Raw genomic sequence first — 19,197 nt, 5'->3', positions numbered from 1 at the left:
TGACAGTGAAGAGAGAGGTGTTCTTCTCACTCGCATCTCAGGCCAGGTGAGGGGGTCCTCAGAAGCATCTCTGAGGGTCTGCAGGAGATTTTAGAGTTTTGGAGGATGCAGAGCCTGGTGCTGACCCCTGCCTGCACTGCCTAAATGAGGGGTGGCCAGAGCTGCCCTCGGGGTGGCCATCTTCAGGCATGGAGGGGAAAGTGAGTCATGGTGGACAGCCATGAAAAGAAGCCATGAGTGGGTCATCTTGAAAGGACATTTCCTATGAGGGTGAGAGACCACCAGGAGCCACCTGAGGCCCTCCCTAGAGAGGAGCCCAGGATGGGAGCAGTCACAGGCCCTTAGCTGAAGGCACCTGGCCAGGGCCAGAGACTCATGCTAGGGGTTCCCAATGGGGAAAGGCCCAAAGCCAGACATCAAAGGCACACGCCAGAGGAGAAACTCCAAGCCTCATGGGGGAAGAAGGAAAAAGGAAGAATGCAGCAGAAACCACAGCCCAGGCCCTCCCCATGACAGCTGCCCACCCTAGCAGGAGCCGTGGAGTGGGGAAGAGGGTGTACATGGGATAAGAGACTGAAGCTCTGGCCGGGCGCTGTGGCTCATGCCTGTAATCCCAGCACTTTGGGAGGTTAAGGCAGGTGGATCACGAGGTCAGGAGTTCAAGACCAGACTGGCCAAGATGGTGAAACCCCATCTCTACTAAAAATACAAAAAATTAGCTGGGCATGGTGGCACGTGCCTGTAATCCCAGCTACTCCAGAGGCTGAGGCAGAGAATTGCTTAAACCTGGAGGGGCAGAGGTTGCAGTGAGCCGAGATCGTGCCACTGCACTCCAGCCTGGGCGACAGTGCGTGACTACGTCTCAAAAAAAAAAAAAAAAAAAAAAAAAGACTGAAGCTCTGACTTAGACTGGACTGGACTTTCCATTTACTGAGCATGAGACTGTTTGTTAATCCATGAAGGTGTTGAGGAGAGCCACGAATCTGCCCCACCAACCACGTGGGCAGGATAGAGGCCCAGCATTGAAGGCCTGGAAAAAAAAAGAAAAGTGATCTCATGGATTTCCACCCCGAAGATCAGAGGTAGAAATCTCCACCCTGAGATCATTGGAAAAATTGCCACTGCCCCGTCTTCTGGTGGGATTGGGGCCACCCAGTATCTAGAACACATTTGGTGTGAGGAGTGGACCATGATACAGAGTCAGGACCCATCCTGGAGGCCCAGCCCTCCAGGCACAGGCAGAAGCAGACCCGAAGATCCCATCCTCCCAGGTTCCAGGCTGCCCTCTCATTTAACATTGCAGCTGGGTCCCAGAGACCATGCTGGTGGCGAGATGTGAATGTGATCCCTGTGTTTGTGAATAATCCCTCAAGGTCAGCCAGAAACCAGAGAACAATCTCCTCCTTTGTAGGGGGTGCAGGAGATGGGGCAGGAGACTGGCCTGTAGACATAATCAGCAAAAGTGGAGGGGTCCAGGAATGCCAGCCGCATCCTCAAATACCCCTCATACCTCTTCAAGTTGCCCCAGCCAATGCTGTTGTCATTTGGTACTTTAAGTCTTAAAAGAGACACAGGAGTTCTAGACAGGCTACCAGTTTCTGTAAGAAGGTAGTGGAGTTGAGGAGGCAGGGGAGCAATCACCCCTAATGCCATCATCAATCTGGCAAGTTCCAGATGATTCCTGATACCCTAAGTGTAGTATAACAGCAAGTGTGAGCTAGAAGGGAATCTAGGAGAATATCTTACTTAGAGCTGAGTACAACTCCAGAAATTTCTGTGACTCTGGCTTGAAAACTGGTGTGGCCACTGCCCCCCTAGAGTAAGTGCTTTCTAGATACTTGGTTGTCATGTGTGATTGATTTTGCTCTGCTTTCCCCAGCCCTGCCACATTCCAATTTCCTAATCTTGGTGAGCTAACCATAAAATACTTAGAAATAAGTTTAATAAGAAAAGCACTAGATCTCTAGGACAAAAATGATGAAATGTACCTGAAGAACATAAATCAAGTCCTGAGTGAATGAAGAGAAATGATCTTCAAGAAGACTTTATTATCACAGTTGGCAAAGCCTTCAAGGATTAATAGGTGTGTTCTTTTCCATTCGGAATCCCAACAAGGTTCTCAGTTTGGGTTGTGTCATTTCTTTTAAAACTAGATAAAATCTTTATTGTTTTGAAATTGGACTGTATGAATCTGGTGTTCACATGAAAAACAAATCAACCTGCAAAAATTGTCAAAATAGCTTCAGAAAGAGAAAGGGGGTTGGGGCTTGACCAGATTTTGAACCCATGCTGAAGCTACAGTAATTAAACCCTGTACTCCTGGGGTAAACAGATAAGTGAAACAAAACAGAGGGCCCAGTCATTTCTCCAAGTATATTTAGGGACTGAAAATATGACAAAGGACAAATTCTGGGTTTAAGAGGGTTGGGAAAATGACTATTCATTTGGAAGACTTTTAAGTTAAATCCCTACCTCATACCATATACAAAAATGACTTCCAAATGAATTGAAAGAGTTGTTTTTTAAAACTATAAAGGCCAGGCACAGTGGCTCATGCCTATAATCCCAGCAATTCAGGAGGCTGAGGCAGGCAGATTGCTTGAGCCCAGGGTTCAAGACCAACCTGAAAAACATAGGGAGACCCCATCTCTACAAAAAAATACAAAAATTAGCCAATGTGGTGGTGTGCACCTGTGGTCCCAGCTACCAGGGAGGCTGAGGTGGGAGGATCACTTGAGCTCAGGAGTTTGAGGCTGCAGCGAGCTATGATTGTGACGCTGCACTCCAGCCTGGGTGACAGAGTGATAACCTATTACAAATAAACAAAAGGCCCAAATTATAAGTGTATGGATGATAATAAAGGAAAATATTCATATAACTTCATCATGCAGGAAGTCTTCCCAACAAGATAGGAAACGAAGAAGCCATTAAGGAAACAGAAATAAAAGAATTAACTACACAAAACACTTTTAAAAAAGTCTTACAAGACTATGCTTTAGGAAAGCCACTCTGATGGCCAGAGTGGAGGAAAGATTGGAGGATGACACCAGCTGTAAAGGAAGGAGGCATCCAGGGGAAAGAAGTGGCCACGGTCCTTTTAGGAGGTGTCAGGATAAACGAGGTGGTGGCCAGTGGTGATAGAGATGCAACTGAGCAGCATTTGTTTGAATTATTAATCAGCTGTTGGTTTGCAAAAGGGACCAAGATTACCTTGGTATTTAACATATATATGACAAACAAGCTGTATTCATGTATGGGCATAACTTGCCTTTTTTCTCACCAACCCTTTATGCTAGAGAAAACTTCATCTTTGCCTAATCAGATTTACTTCCTTCTCCACCCCGAAAGCAATTCTTGGCATGTGTTTGATGGGAAATGGAAGTGTCAGTTTTATTGGGTGAGTCAGGTGGGTGACAGGCCTTGAGAGCTTCTTGATAGAGCTCGTCTATCAAAGAAAGGAATAATGAAAAGGGAGAGGCAAGAGCAAGGCATTAAATACTCAGATCCCTGCCACCAAGAGAAGTCCAGTTTCAAGGCTGAAGGGGGAGATGGAATGGAATAGGGAGGGGCTCAGTGAATGAAGAAGCCTCTGGATATGGCTCCCTCCCCAACCCACCCCCTCCCCCAGAATTTCCTTACTAACCCAATAGTTTCCAAACTATAGTGTGCATCAGACCCAGCTCGAGGGCTTGTTAAAGTACAGATGGCCAATCCTCCCCTAAAGCTCCTTCTTTAGAATTGCATTGGTTACTCTGTTCCCTGTGTCTTTCCATATAAATTCTAGAATCAGTTTTATAATAACTATAAAGTAGCTTGCTGGGACTTTGAATGGAATTGTGCTGATCTACAGATGAAATTGGGAAGAATTGGCATCTTAATATTGAGTCTTCCAATCCATCAACATGGACTATCTCTCGATTTACTCCCAAGGTTTCTGATTCAGCAAGTCTGAGGAGGGGCCTGAGATCTTGCCTTTCTACCTACTGCCCAAGTGATGCTGATGCTGCTGGTCCAGAGAGCCCACATAGGAGTTCCCCAGTTCCGGCTTTGAAGCCCTGCCTGGTTTGGAAGTTAAGGCTATCCTGAAGACTTGAGCCCCAGGACATTGGAAAGAGCTTTTGTTCTCATGCAAATCACAGGGGGCCAGTTCTCCTGGGGTTTGCATGCTAATAGCTGTCTTTTTTGTTTTGTTTTGTTTCTAATTCACAGCAGATAAACAGTGAATGCCAGGAACAGACAAGTGTGCAGGGTCAGCAGATACAAGCCCCTTGTGGGAAGGGGGTTTTTCTCTAAGTATCAGATTCGTCAATTACTGGGTAAATTTCTAATCTCTTAGGACTTCCCCTTTCAATAAATACTTTCCCAGAAAGTCTCACGAAATCAACCCTGGGTCTAAAAATAAGGCTCTACTCCCATCCCCTGGGCATGAGTGGTCCCCATGAGCCCAGGTGCATGGCTTGAGGAAGGCACTGGGCGGTCACAGGAGTGCTTTGTGGACAAGGTGCCAATGGTGTGGGCAGAGATCTGGCAGACAGTAGTCCCTACTCTCTTCCTGTCTTGATGAGGAGGATCCGAGCTGGCCCAGAGAAGGGGCAAGCCTTCCAGGTAGAGGGAATAACATGGGCAAAGACTCAGAGACCAACACAGGAACTCCATGGTGCTGCGTCACAAAGATGGAACTCTGGTGGCCTCCTCCTGTGCCTGCCTGTGACTCAAACCCCCAGTGCTCACTCTACCTCTGCCTTTCCTTCCTCCTAAGCTGCCCTTAGTGGGTAAAAACTCTTCCCAAGTATCTTCTCACTGATGCTAGCCCAGACAAAGCTTGGCCAAGGTAGGAAGGGGCTCTACAGAGTGAGTCAAGGACCCGCAGGGTGACTCTGGCTTTGCAAGGCAGGAAGCCTAGGAGGGACAGCCTCAGCCTTGGCTGGGGGCCCTGCCTACTCCCCACACTTCCCAGGGCATGCAGAGGCTCCAGGAACAGGGCTCTGTCCCTCAGAGTCCTCACAGGGGCCAGTCTGCTCTCAATCCCTCTGTGTGTGTCCTAATCTCCTTTTCTTATAAAGACACGAGTCCACCCTAACGACCTCATTTAAACTTAATTGCCTCTTTAAAGCCCTATCTCCAAATGCAGTCATATGCAGAGGTTTTGAGGGTTAGAGCTGCAACACATAAATTTTGGGGAACACAATTCAGCCCATGACGGCACCTGTCTGCAGGAGCCTCTCATATGCAGCTGTGTGCTGGGGAGCTGGAGGCCCAGCATTGGGTTTGCACCCCCAGGCCCTCCCACCAGAAGGAAGAGGCAGGGGACCTGGGACCAGCAGGTTTTGGTCCTCTTCTTTTCCTCCATTCCTGCATCCCTGCACTCGGTGGCCTTAATAGGGGAATGAAAAAGTCGTGAGTGAGTGAATGGCAGGTATCCAAGGAAGAGAGAAGCAGAGCTCCCGGTGGATGAAAGGAGCATGATGTCCAGGGGTGAGCAGCACCCAGGGCACTTGAGCCGGGGCAGACCCAGGACCCAAACCACTGGGCCCTTCCATTACCAGGCTCTGCCTCTCACTTGGGAATGTGGCAGGTGTGTTAGCTGGGACTTGTATACTTGTTTCCAATTGCTGCTGTAATAAATGACCACATACTTAGCAGCTTCTAAACAGCACACATTTATTGATCCCAGAATCCTGGAGGTCAGAAGTCCTCAATGGAGTCATGTTCCTTCTGGAGGCCCTCAAGGAGAATTCTTGTCTTGTCTTTTCTGCTTTTAGAGGTCACCCAAATCCCTGTGCTGGTGGCCTCTCCCTCCCTCTGCGCTGGTGGCCCCTCCCTCCCTCTGCACTGGTGGCCCTCTCCCTCGTTCTTCAAAGTACAGCTCTCCAAGCCCTGCTCCCATCTGCACATCTCCTCTGGCTCCAACTCCCCCTTCCTCCCTCTCATAAGGGAGGGCCACCCTCCCAACCCAGGGTCCTCTCCCGTGTCAAGATCCTTCACTTTATCACAACTGCAAAGTCCCTTTTGCCATGTAAGGTCATGTATTCACAGTTCCCAGGGATTAAGAAGTGGGTTGGCTGCAGTCACAGGGTGCCTGGCATCAGAGAGGCTTAAGCAGAGTGGGGTATTTCCATCTCCTACGGCCACCCAAGCTGCGATGACAGCTTTGCTCTGAACCACTCCTTGTCCCCTGGTGATATGGTTTGGCTGTGTCCCCACCCAAATCTCATCTTGAATTATAATTCCCATGTGTTAGGAAGGAACCTGGTAGGAGGTGATTGGATTATGGGGGCAATTTCCCCCATGTTGTTCTCATGATATTGAGTAAGTTCTCATGAGATCTGATGATTTAAAAATGTGGCACTTCCTTCCTCGCGCTCTCTCTCCTGCCGCCTTGTGAAGATGTGCCTTGCCTCCCCTTCACCTTCTGCCATGATTGTAAGTTTCCTGAGGCCTCCCCAGCCATGGGGAACTGTGAGTCAATTAAACCTCTTTTCTTCATAAATTATCCAGTCTCAGGTAGTATCTTTATAGCAGTGTGAGAACAGACTAATACACCTGGTTTGCCAAGTCTAGAGTCCTCCCCCACCCTGAGTCCACACTGTCACTTGGCAGGGACAACAAAACACTTCCTAAAATGCAAACCCGTTTGGGGTGGGATTTTTTTTTCCTCATTGCATTGCAGCTTCCCCATCTTCCTAAACAGAAGCCATGGAGCTCACTTTCCTTATCGAGGGCACTGCATTGGGGTTGGGGGCAGGCAGCAGCCCGACAGATCTTCTGGGATGTCAGTTTCCCCCACAGGATCAATTGCTCAAAGAACGCAGGTGTCATTGGAACGTGCATCCATTCACCCATTCACCCACTTGGCAATCACCAGGATGTGCCAGCATCGTGGATACTCTGGGCAAAGCCAAGAAGACTTGCTTGCCTTGAAGTGGCCAGATGGAGCAACTACCAACACTTGCTAATGTTCCCATCTTCTAATGGGATGTTCTTCTGTAGGACTGAGTTATAGAAAACTATCACCTTTACACCAGTGGCCCAAAATGCCGAGCTTTATGAGTTCATGGGATGTCTTTAGGAGAACTTTATCTCCATCTCAGCTGCTGCCTTTATTGCTCCCTTCTCTCGCACCCCCTGAATCTCTCTCTCTCTCATACACACACACACACACACACACACCATTTCCAATGTATGAGCTCCTAATTTACTATAGAGTAGGAAAAGAAGTTTAGAATATCCGTTATAATTTTATATAAAGAAAGAGTAACCAGGCTATGACTGTAAGGCGGGCATATTAGTGCAGAGCATTTGTGAAACCTCATGCCTTGTCTGCTTCCTTCATGCATCTTGTCTGCGGACGGAGTGGCTGAAATTCTCAAAGCTGGGGGTTAGTGACTCTTCTAACCCTCCACCCTCCCTTCATCCCTCGCTGTGCCCCAGCTCCCAGATCTACCAAACCCAGCTCCTAGTTCTGAGCCTAATATGCACTTAGTGAACATGAAGTCGGCCATTAGCACTAGCCCCTTACCTCTCTCCGGCTGGCCTTGCCTCCTCCAACCCATACCATACACCACAGCAGCCTCAATGATATGTCCACACAGAAAACAGTCCCACATGCTTGAAACCCTTCAGTGGGTCTTCATTTGGGGAGGATACACCCTAGCTCCTCTGGCCGACTTTCAAGGAGCTTCCTGGCCTGACCAGCCTCTTTGGGCACCAGATCCATCTCTGCCCCAGGGTCACAATTAAGAAATGCCCATCACCTACTCTCTGCTCAGCCATCTGAGGTCTACACTAGCCCACATCCCATTCTTCTCCCCTTGGAATTTAAGTTTGCTTTTGCTCCTCAGGGTTCCCACCCAGCTCACCCAATCTCAAGGCATGGTCAGAACAGGCCCCAGACAGCCTCACCAGCCCTGGGTCCTGTATGTCCCTCCCCCTGCTACCCTCCCCTCCACCCCAACAAGTCACCATCACACTGAGCAACCAGAGTCCTCTGGTTAGGGTGGTCTTTTTGCCCTCCTGCCTTTGCCCCTGCTGTTTCCACTGCTGCTATGCCCTCCTCATTCCCCTTTGGCTGTCTGGTAAACATATCTCCTCCAGGAAGCCTTCCCTGATGATCCATTTCCTGGGCAGAGTGAGCACCTCCTCCCACTGGACTTCTGCAGTATGATCTTCTACCTCTCCAGCACAGAAGCCCTGGAACGTGTATCACTAGCAACAGGTGAGAGCAAAGTGGGGCACCGTGTCTTGTGCATCAGGGCCCCATTCCAGTGCAAGCCTTTTTCAGACCAGGAGGATCAAGAGGGGCAAAGGAGGTTTGCAAGATCCAGGTTGGTCAATCAGTGTTTCTTATTCCCCTGGCCATGGTAGCTGGTTTAGGGTTGGGCATACGACCCCAGTCTCACCAATCAAAGTGGATCCAGGGATTAAAGCCTTCTCAGAGGAAGACAGAAACGGGAAATGGAGAAAGTGAGATCGAGTTCTGATATCATTTGAGCTTCTGAATCCAGCCATTCCTGAAGCTGAAATCCCTGAGCTTTTCAAGTACACAAATGCACAAGCCAATTGCACCCAAAATGGTCCTGTCCAATACAGAACTCAAACATGAGCATAGCTCCAGGATTTTGCCATTCTCTTTGGGGAATAAGGGATATAGATTAATCAAGAGCAGGCCTCATGTGTCCAGGACCCTGGGCAGCTATGGTTTACCTTCATCAAGTCATCCAGTACTGAATGGCTTTACCCCAGCAAAGAGGACACGGTGCTTCTAAGAAGGGCACCCATTGGCAGAGTCCGCCAAGGGACATGGTCCCTCCACTAGACTTTCCAGTAAGAGAAATCACCTCTGGGGATGACAAAATTCACAAGAAAGATGAGAGATAGATTGAAAAAATGACTTAGACAATTTGGCACTATGGTACATCAAAAAAAATGCCTACATGGTAGTTAGGCTGGTCCCAACGGTGCCAACACCCCTTGTTGACTTTGTTCAAGTCACTTTCTTGTCTAGAAACCACATCCCACATCCCTATTGAGTTATAGAAACCCAATCCTCTATAACAAAGAGGATGGGTCTGAGTGTGGTAGAGATAATGTTCTTTGCCCCACAGACCCATCCCACTTTCTTCCCTCCTGGACCCCTGCTGCCTTCTGAGGGAGTCAGGGATCAGATTGCACAGAAGCAGTTCTGGATGATGAAAAGTAAAAAGAGACGTGTGTGTCACTTCCAGGCTGAGGCCATGAGAAGCACCATGTGACCCTCCATTAGCACATGAGATGCAAACAGGCTGGATCCCTGAATCACTATGTAGAGCACAGCTGTCCTAACAAGTCACCCCCTTCACTTTGGGATTTGAGTGAGAGAAAATAAGTTCTCACAGCAATAAGCAATTGAGGTTTGGAGATTTATTTGTTATGGCAGCAAAACCTAGCTTATCCTGACTAACATACCAGAGATGGCAAACACATGACACACACACCATCACTAAGAGACTGGCAGCCATCCAGACATTACTAATCCATCTTGGCACATTTTCCTCCCATCTCAGACATGCTCCAGGCAGCCCATACCAATGGACTACCTAAGGACTGTAAGGTGGGTAAAGATCCCTCCAGCTCACAAGTTACCTACCACTCAGGTGGTTGAGCAATTTGACTGCCCCTCATTTGACACACAACGGTCAGGCTTGGGAGTCAAGGGGAAGCTGTCCCTCTGGAAGGATCTGACCTCGCCCCACCACTCACAATTCAGGATTGTCAAAGCCTCGTGTCTTCTCACCTCCTTCCATCACCTCCTTCCCTGCCATGCCCCAAGGGGCTGCTGGACAGAGGCTGCCCCCACCCCAGCCTCTGCCAACTCCCCACCCCTCATCGCCGATTCAGGAAGCCTCCAGGATTTTGGCATCAGTGACATTTTTCTCTGCCTTCTTGCTGTTCCGTAGTAGAGCCAAGTAGGAACTTGTTCCTCTGAAGACTTTGGAGAGGAGCTGCGCTGCCCCATGCTTTCTCATTCTTTCTCAGGGTGTGCCCCAGCCTCAGACCCATGAAAGGCAATTTCACTTTCGGTGGGGCTCCTTCCAGGAGGAACACTAGGACCCAAATGGGAGCAGATGTGTTGGCGGTCAGCTCCCTCCCCGAGCCAGAGCCGAGGGAAGGGCCGTCCTAGGACACAGGCTCCAAGCAGATGAACAGAGGCAACATGACTTTTTACAATGGGGCTTTGATCTACCTAATGTCACAAGACAGGCTGGGGACAAATGCCAGGCTCTGTGTGACTCCCGGTTCCCACAGGAGGTGCCCTGTGCAGGTATTCACACGGGGAGAGTCTTGGCAGGCCCGGCCCCTGGGTCTGTGCCCATCACAGACACAGCCACGGCAATCAGGTTTTGGAAAATCGTGGGTGAGGTTCCTTTGGCCGAGGCTCCAGCCTCCTGCCTGAAAATAGCATGGGGAGGGAGGGAGGGAGGCCGCCCCCAGTGGCAGTGGGCACCCTCCTGGTGTGAATGAGGGTGAGTGTGAGGAATTCCTGTGGTCGGGGCAGACGGCGGGGCACAAAGGCTAGGCTGGCGTCCTTGACAATACCCGCTCTGTCCCTGCAGTTGGTGACCTTCACCAAAGTGCTTCGTGAATGGGCCGTGGCTGCTCCCAGGTGTGTCCAAGCCGCCGGCGTTGGAAGCACATGAAGAGGCCGGGACCGTGGGGAGAGTTCACAGGACGTTTTGTAATTTGGGTGCCCATGAGGGCTGCCCTGGGGCTCGGGCCAGGCCGATGGAGGCTGCCAGGGGCCCATCCTTGGGCTGTCAGCATGCATTATCCCCACCTGTGCTCAGGAACAATGGCCACACCTGTAACTCGCTCCCATCCCCGGGTGGATGAAACGGCCTGTGCCTCCTGCCTGCAGCTCCGGTTTCCCTGCCGGGTGGCCCTCGGAAGGCTGCAGCAGGATGTACAGGCAGCCCAGAAAGATAGCGAATGGTAGGGACTGAGGGAGGTGGGGCGTGGCTCTCCGCAGGCCAGGAGTCTAGTTTAGACAAGGACGTCCCAAGGTTTCTCCCAGTCACTTTTACGAAGCATGCTACTCACACCAGGGTCCTGACTGCCCCGACTCCCTCTCTCACCCGTCTCTGAAACTCCAAAGCCTGGGGCCACCAGGAGCAAAATCTTGGCAACCTCCCTTTTTTCTCCATTTTTGCCTCTCAGCACAGTGAGGTTGGCCCCCTGATGTGTAGACACAGCTACATATTTAACACACTTAGATACCTTTTGCCAGGCATCAAGTATTTGTGTATTGTGCAAATACTCGTTTCAGCCTCACAACAACCCCAGGAGAAGCTGCTATCAGCATCGACTCCATTTCACATTTGGGGAAGCTGAGGTTCAGAAAGGTGAAATCACACAGCTGGTAACAGGCAGGCCTGGGCTGTGAACCCAGGCATCTGGCGTCCGAGACCTTGCCCACCCCCACCGCCTCCCACCTGCCCTGCTCCCGCCGACACCACAACCCAGGGCTCTTTGGTGACACCTGGAAGGGGTCCCCTGAGCACGTCTTTCATGCCCATGCCCTTCCTACGGCCCACATTCCTGGGGCTCGGACCAGGTCATCCTCATCGCTGTACCCCAGCCCCAGACCAGACGAGTGTTTGTTAACTTAAAGGGAACACAGCTGGGAGATCATAGGTGTCATTTCTGGAGCTTCCCCCTGGAGCAGGCATGCCTCAAACACTTCCATGGACGCCCTCATGTTCCTTTCCCAGCATCCCACAGAGAAGCATGAGCGCCATTCCCATTTCACAGGCGAGAAAACAGGATGAGAGCGATACGGTGCCCAGGCAAGCATCACCCAGCTCCTCGTCCGCAGCAGCCATGGGTTCCAGACTCAGCACCTCTTCTGCCTCCATCCTGAATGAAAAAGGGAGGGGCAGAAAGGAAAGGAGAAGGGGTGCGGGGTCATTCGGAGGCGGTAGAGACCTCATGCCACCTGCCAGTAGCAGCCCTACCTGACTCCAAGAGGACAAGGCCTGCACTGGTCCTCACCCACCTCGGGGCTGGCCAGCTTGCCATTTTTGATGACCCCACACTGAGGCCTTAGTCGAAGGTGGCATTTCCGGGTCTGGGGGTTATTTGTTGCAGTGATGGAGAGATAAACAATGAGTTCCAGAAGTCGGCTGGCCAAATCCCAGCCCCACACAATAAACCCCACCTGTGGTGTGCAGGCAGGACGTGAACAGGTGTGTCCTCACCAGAGAAGTATTTAGATACCAGAAAGCCAGCTTGCCTGTGGTGTGCAGGCAGGATATGAACAGGTGTGTCCTCACCAGAGGAGTATTTAGATACCAGAAAGCCAGCTTGCCTGTGGTGTGCAGGCAGATGTGAACAGGTGTGTCCTCACCAGAGAAGTATTTAGATACCAGAAAGCCAGCTTGCACAGCCACAACAGGCCCCTTATCCCAGGCAGGGGGGACAGGAAATGGATGGAAATTTGCATCCTTTTGAATGCATCCTCCGCTTAGTGGGACCAAAGAGACTACCTGAGCCTCAGCGTCAGCTGCGTGCGGACCGACCCCATGCGGACCGACCCCGTGCGGGCAGACGTCTGCTGGTGCCGGGCACTTGGCCAATAGGAGAGCCTCGGGAACGGAATAATGAAGAACTGATTTACCCAGCAGGGCCCTTTCTGTGTCTGGGAAGCTCTCGCACCTTCTTGGAGGGGGCAGGCGTGTTTCCTTGGGAGGAATGCCGTTACACAATCGGTCTGTCAAGAGTCTGCGTTCAGGAATCCAGGCGAGGTGGCTCCAGCTGCGGTCTGCTCCTTTGATTCACACACTCCCCACGGGCAGCCCCAGCCCCTTGGCTCCCTGCTGCCCTGTGAAACACACACCACCCGTGAGGGACCCCACGCAGGAACCAGGCTTGGGTCTGCAGCAGACAGAATGCAGCAGGACTCAGGCGGTGCACCCACGCCGTCTGGAGGCCTCAGAACTAGAATCTCACAAGAAGTCTGCCGGCAGATGCTCCTGCTCCTGCACACTGTACAGATGAGCACGCAGGGGCCAGTAAGGAGCACGCAGCCTCGTGGCCAGCAAGAAGCAGAGCAGAGACGTGGACCCAGGCCTGCAATCACCGATCACCCTGCACAGGTGCGATGTGCTGCAGAGTGTAGGTTAGGACATGGGGTGGAAAGTGTGTCTGGGGGCTAGACCCAGAAATAAGACCATTGAAAAGAAAGCTACATCAAAATAGCAAGAGAAGGGAGGCAACTTGGTGGGATGTTTACATGTTCAAGGAGGGCACTTCCGAGCACTCCATGCTGGGGACTAGGTCACTAGATCACAGAAGCTCCACTCAGCTCCCCCGTGGAACCACCTGGGAGGATCTGTAGAGAAGACTCCCACGTTATTCAGGAATAAGAAGAAATGAGCCGGCAAGCTGCAACAAGACATGGAGGAGTGTGAAGTGAAATCAACACTATCACGAGGTACAGGGACAGGTTGGAGAATTCCTCTCCATCAAAGTCTTAGGTAGAGTTAGCACTAAGAGGAATGCAACCCATTCATTTTACTGATGAGGAGACAGAAGGTCAAGGTGGACCACGGTGGGGTTTGACTCAACATTCTGGATTCCCCATCCCGATGGTTCCTTCTGTATCACAGATCCTAGCTTATAAATACAAAGTCCAGTTTTTCAAAAAGGCATGTAATTAAAAAAAAAATCCCAACTCTCAGGTGTCTGATCCCCAATTCATCATTTCTTCCTGTGAGCCGAGAAAGAAGCCAATCTGAAAAGGCTCCCCACCGCATGGTTTCCACTCTGTGATGTTCTAGAAAGGGCCAAACCGTGGAGACAGTAAAGACAGCAATGGTTGCCAGGGGTTAGAAGGGAGGGAGGAACAGGAGGAGCATCAAGGGTCTCTAGGGCAGTGGAGGTCTTCTGTTTGATACTATCATGGTGGATGGATGTCATTATGCATTTTTCAAAACCCACGGATTGTACAACACAAAGAGTGAACTCTAACCTAAATATGGATTTTAGTGATTATCCTAGTAAAAAAATTAGGACTCAGTAATGTATCAATACTGGCTCATCGATTGTAACAAGCATACCACACCAATGCAGGATGTTAGTAATAGGGGAAACAGAGAGGGTGGGAGGTATATGGAACTCTATGTACGATCTGTTCAATCACTCTGTAAATAAAAAATATTTAAATAATTTTTTAAAAAATATCCACAAGGTCCACATCAGGGCTGAGTACCGTCCAGGACTTACCTTGGGCTGAGTCTCGATCCCAAAGCTCTCTCCCAGACCCTAGTGAAGAGGAAAGAGTGAATGTATGAGCAGGCCTGGGTCCCAGACTGTCTTGCTGGCTGCTGTAGTCACAGTACCTAACAAGGGGCTAGTATACAGTACGTTCTCAATAAATATGTGTTAAATTTATGAATGTTTGGGGCATTAGAAACCCAGGTACCACCTGGGATGAGGAAGTGAGGTTCCAGAGGAGTGGGGAGAAAAATATCAGGGTCATGATGGGCATTTTGGCCTCCTTGAGGGGACCCAGAGGAGGAAGGAGCTGGTGCTCCTTTCCCCATAGAGTGGGGAGAAGCTCCCCCTAGGTCTGCCAAAGGCATCTCGGCACACAGGAAGAAATGAGGAATCAGGGGTCAGACACCTGAGTGTTGGGACTTTTTTTTAATTACATGCCTTTTTGAAAAATTGGACTTTGTATTGTAAGCTAGGATCTGTGATACAGAAGGAACTATCAGGATGGGGAATCCAGAATGTTGAGTGAAACCCCACCATGGTCCACCTTGACCTTCTGTCTCCTCATCAGTAAAATGAATGGGTTGCATTCCTCTTAGTGCTAACTCTACTGGTCTAAGACTTTGATAGAAAGGAATTCTCCAGCCTGTCCCTGTACCTTGTGATAGTGTTGACTGCAACCTTCAGAACAGAACATCTCCACTACCTTGCTTAAAATAGAAAAAGAAGCCATTTCTTTAGGTTTTATACATGGAACTCTGACTTCTTCCTTGGATGTTTCGTGTGTTGGAAGCCACTCCCTTCCCACTCTCACCTAAAGACCTCACAAGCTTAAGAAAACAATAAAAAAGCAAATAAATAAATAACTAATAGCAATTGATTGTGTTCAATTCCAGAAGGTCAAGAAATAGAAGAATCTAGTAAATTACAAGTAATAAACAAACACAGCAACATGCCTGGCACTGCACAACATGAAAGGTACACAGTGTTGAATTAAGACACAATCTTGGCCGGGCATGGTGGCTCACGCCTGTAATCCCAACACTTGAGAGGCCAGAGGATCACCTGAGGTCAGGAGTTTGAGACCAGCCTGGCCAACATGGTGAAACCCCTTCTCTACTAAAAATACAAAAATTAGCCAGGCGTGGTGGCGCATGCCTGTAATCCCAGCTACTCGGGAGGCTGAGGCAGGAGAATCCCTTGAACCCAGGAGGAGGAGGTTGCAGTGAGTCAAGATTGCACCACTGCACTCCAGCCTGGCAGCAGAGCTAGACTCCGTCTCGGGAAAAAAAAAGAAGAAGAAGAAGAAGACATACCATATCTCTTTCTCTCTCTTTCTCTCTTTCTCTCTTTCTCTCTTCCCACCATGTGAAGACACAGCAGAAAGACACCCATCTCCAAGCCAGGAAGAGAGGACTCACAAGAACCCAACCCTGGCCAGGCTCAGATGTCAGGAGTTCGAGACCAGCCTGGCCAACATAGCAAAACCCCATCTCTACTAAAAATACACACACACACACAAAATTAGCCAGGCATGGTGGCAGGCACCTGTAATCCCAGCTACCTAGGAGGCTGAGGCAGGACAATCACTTGAACCCAGGAGGCAGAGGTTGCAGTGAGTCAAGATCTCACCACGGCACTCCAGCCTGGGTGACAGAGCAAGACTGTCTCAAAAAAAAAAAAAAGAGAGAGAGAGAAAATAGAAACCAACCCTAATCACACATTGATCTTGGACTTTTAGCCTCCAGAACGAGCAAAAATAAATGTCTGTTGTTTAAAGCCCCTGGTCTATGGTCTTCTTTGTAGCAGCCCCAACAGACTAATATTAAGTGGTTTCTAGGAGTTGAGGGTGGGAATGAGGCACCCTCAGGGGTGATGGAAACATTCTGTATCTTGACTGTGCAGGTAATTAAACAACTGTGTGTGTTTGTCAGAACTCACAGAAGTATACACTCAAAAGCATTAACTTGACAGGATATAAATTATACCTCAATAAAGTAGCAAAAAACTACACATTACTTACAGGGAGACAAAGATAAGAATGATGAAGACATCTCATCAGAAACAATACAAGCCAGAAGAAACCAGTGTGCGGCGGGAGCTGCGCGGCAGAAAAAAGACCCGCCACCTGTTGGGCTGGGGTGTAGGGAAGCGTCACGGAGCAGGTGCCCTTGAGCTCAGACTCCAAGGGGGAGAACAGGCAAGGTAGCCAGAAAGAGCATTTTAGGAAGAGGGAGGCAGTAGCCTGGACCTCAGCTCACAGCTTGGAGGGGAGGGGAAGTTCAGCCTGCAAGGTGGGCTCAGGCTGGAAACACAAGCTGGGACTAGACACAGAAGAGCCTCCAACTCCAGGCCGCAGACGTTGAATTTTACTCTGGAAGTCGCTGAGGTACAGCAACATGGACAAGAGGCAGCAGCAACATTTTCCCCTTGCCATGCAGATGCCAAGCATATGTAGTGGCATTCTGCTGGCCCTAACCCAGCTTGGCACCTAATTTTAGCCCCCAAACTGTTAGATGTTGCAAAGCATCCATTCTGGGGCTGCCGTGGGCCAATGTCAGAGAGCTGGGAGCATAGGAACCGTTGAGATAAGCTCCCAGGCCAGGAACAAGCACTTCACCTTCTCCAGCCACATCACGAGGCCCTCCCTGGCCTGCCTGGCCCCCACCTCCTGACCTCATCAGCTCTCGGTTGCACTCACTCTGCTGCAGCCACACTGATCCCCTTGCTGCTCCTCCAACACACCAAGCAAACTCCTGCCTCAGGGCCTTTGCACACACTGTGGCTGCCGTAGCCAGGAGCACTCCTCCCCAGGTACCAACAGGGCTCACTCTCAGACATTTCTCAGGGATCTATTCAAATGCCCCTTGTCAGTACAGCACGCCCTGACACCATGACTCAGACAGCCCCCACACCCACCCCCAGACACCCCCAGCCCCTCATCCTAGTTAATCTCTCTTCCTAGCACTCACTTCTTTGTTTCTCCAGGACAGTGGGCCCTGAGTGAATATCTACTGAATGAGTAGGGGACACCTTCTGGAAACTCCTTTCACCCAAACTCTGGCTCTGATGGAAACTACTCGTGGCAGCCAGATGGGTGTCAAGGTGGGTGGTGCAGAGGAGGAAAGTCCAGGGATTGGGGATGAGATCCAAGAGGAGTCACAGCCTGCAGGGCTGGAAGCTGCAGTTGCCCAGTGTAGGAGATCCTCCCTCCTGGGTCACAGCTGTAAAATGAGGATGCCAGAGACTCTTGCCCTACAGCCCAGAGGGCCCATCAGATTGTAACTCATCCTGTGTCTGCTCAGTAACATGTAAAAAGTCTGTATTAGTCTGTTTTCACATTACTATAAAGAACTTCCCGAGACTGGGTAATTTATGAAGAAAAAAGCTTAATTGACTCATAGTTCTGCATGGTTGGGGAGGCCTCAGGAAACTTACAATCATGGCAGAAGGTGAAGGGGAGGCAAAGACCTTCTTCACATGGCAGCAGGAAAGAGAGAGCTAGCAAGAGCAGGGAAGACTGCCTTATAAAACCATCAGAGCTCATGAGAACGCACTCACTATCACAAGAACGGCATGGGGGAAACTGCCTTCACGATCCAATCACCTCCCACCTGGTCCCTCCCTCGACACATGGGGATTATAATTCCAGATGAAAGTTGGGTGGGGACACAGAGCCAAATCATATCAAAGTCCGTACTGCATAGCAGGTCCTATACATGGTACTGGGGTTACACCGTGAGCAAGACAGACATATTTACTGCCCTGTCTACACTAACACTTCACCCCAAGCACATAGTCCAGTAGTGGGGACATATAGTCAGCTGGACCATCACAATATTGACTAATAACAGGTGCAGTGCAGGGCAAGTTCAGGGCTTGGGGATCCTATAAAGGCAGGCAGCCCGGCCTGATACAGGGAGGTGGTCAAGGATAGCTTCCTGGAGTGAACGACCCCCTGTACAGAGTGACCTTCATTAAACAAAAGCTTATCATGCATCAGCTTGCCATGGCTCCACAGGGCCCAGAGGCTGAGGGGTGAGGTCCCCAACTCAGCAGGGAAGGCCCTCCCAAGCTACATCCCTTCCACCTCACCCCCATGGGGACTGCACCAGGGCATCGCCAGGTTTCCCTCCATGCCCCATGTATCAGTTATTCATTGCTGTGTAACAAATTCCCCCATCATGGAGGGTTAAACAATAGACATTTGCTACTCTCACAGTTTCTGTGGATCACAGGGCTGGGCTAGGCAGTGCTGGCTGAGGGTCTCTCATGAAGATACAAGCAGATGTCAGCTGGAGGGGTAGTCCTCTGGAGGTTTGACCAGGCCAGAGGATCTGCTTCCAAAGCAGCTCCCTCATGGCTAGTGAGTGCTGGCTGCTGGTAGGAATCCTCAGTTCCCCGCCAATGTGCCTCTTGAGTGTCCTGATGTCATAGCAGCTGGTTTCCCTCAGAGAGAGGGATTCATGAGGCCAAAGCAGAAGCTTAATGCCTTTTATGGCCTAGACACATGCTGTCACCTCTGCTGCACTGACTCCATCATACAGACCAACCTGGGCTCAAGGTGGAAGGACACCACACAAGGGTGTGAATGCCAACAGGTGACCAACATGGACTTGGAGCTGACTGCCACATACTTCATCTGTCCCTAGAGGCTGAGCAGAGCTGTCTCCCTTGGCCTGCTGCTCTGTGAATTCCTCCTGGGTCTATCTCAGGATGAGTTAGGAGCTCCCTGGGGTTCCCATTTCACTGGCCTCAACCAAACCATGGACCCTGTCCTGTTGCAATTGTTTCTCCCCTGATCTTTCTTCAGAATGGCACTAAGACTCAGAGTAAAGACCATGTCTGACTCACCTATGTCCCCAACACTCAGCAGCCAGAGCATGTTTCAGCACAATGTGTGGTTCAATGAGCATCAGTTGAGTGGGGGGATGGATGGATGGATGG

At 50.3% G+C, this 19,197-nt stretch overlaps 1 long non-coding RNA gene across 1 annotated transcript, besides 1 other annotated feature; it reads right to left on the bottom strand.

The window, feature by feature from the left end:
- Nucleotides 4,180-4,449: an enhancer, noted in NCBI's record as "active region_5154". NCBI's record gives its function as "activates an Ori minimal core promoter by ATAC-STARR-seq in GM12878 lymphoblastoid cells {active_cell/tissue: GM12878}" and the evidence as "EXISTENCE:reporter gene assay evidence [ECO:0000049][PMID:35858748]".
- Nucleotides 11,487-14,658, bottom strand: LOC105369368 (uncharacterized). The gene is made up of 3 exons (XR_001748070.1): nucleotides 14,260-14,658; nucleotides 12,691-12,856; nucleotides 11,487-11,892 (listed from the first exon to the last, which is right to left on the bottom strand). It is a non-coding gene; the product is annotated as an uncharacterized LOC105369368 (long non-coding RNA).
- Between the last annotated feature and the right edge of the window lie 4,539 nt (nucleotides 14,659-19,197).

Source organism: Homo sapiens, chromosome 11, assembly GCF_000001405.40.
Source record: "Homo sapiens chromosome 11, GRCh38.p14 Primary Assembly".
In the NCBI taxonomy this organism is placed as follows: Eukaryota; Metazoa; Chordata; class Mammalia; order Primates; family Hominidae; genus Homo; species Homo sapiens.
Note: the sequence above shows the minus strand (reverse complement) of the source record. Positions and strands in the feature narration are given on the sequence as shown.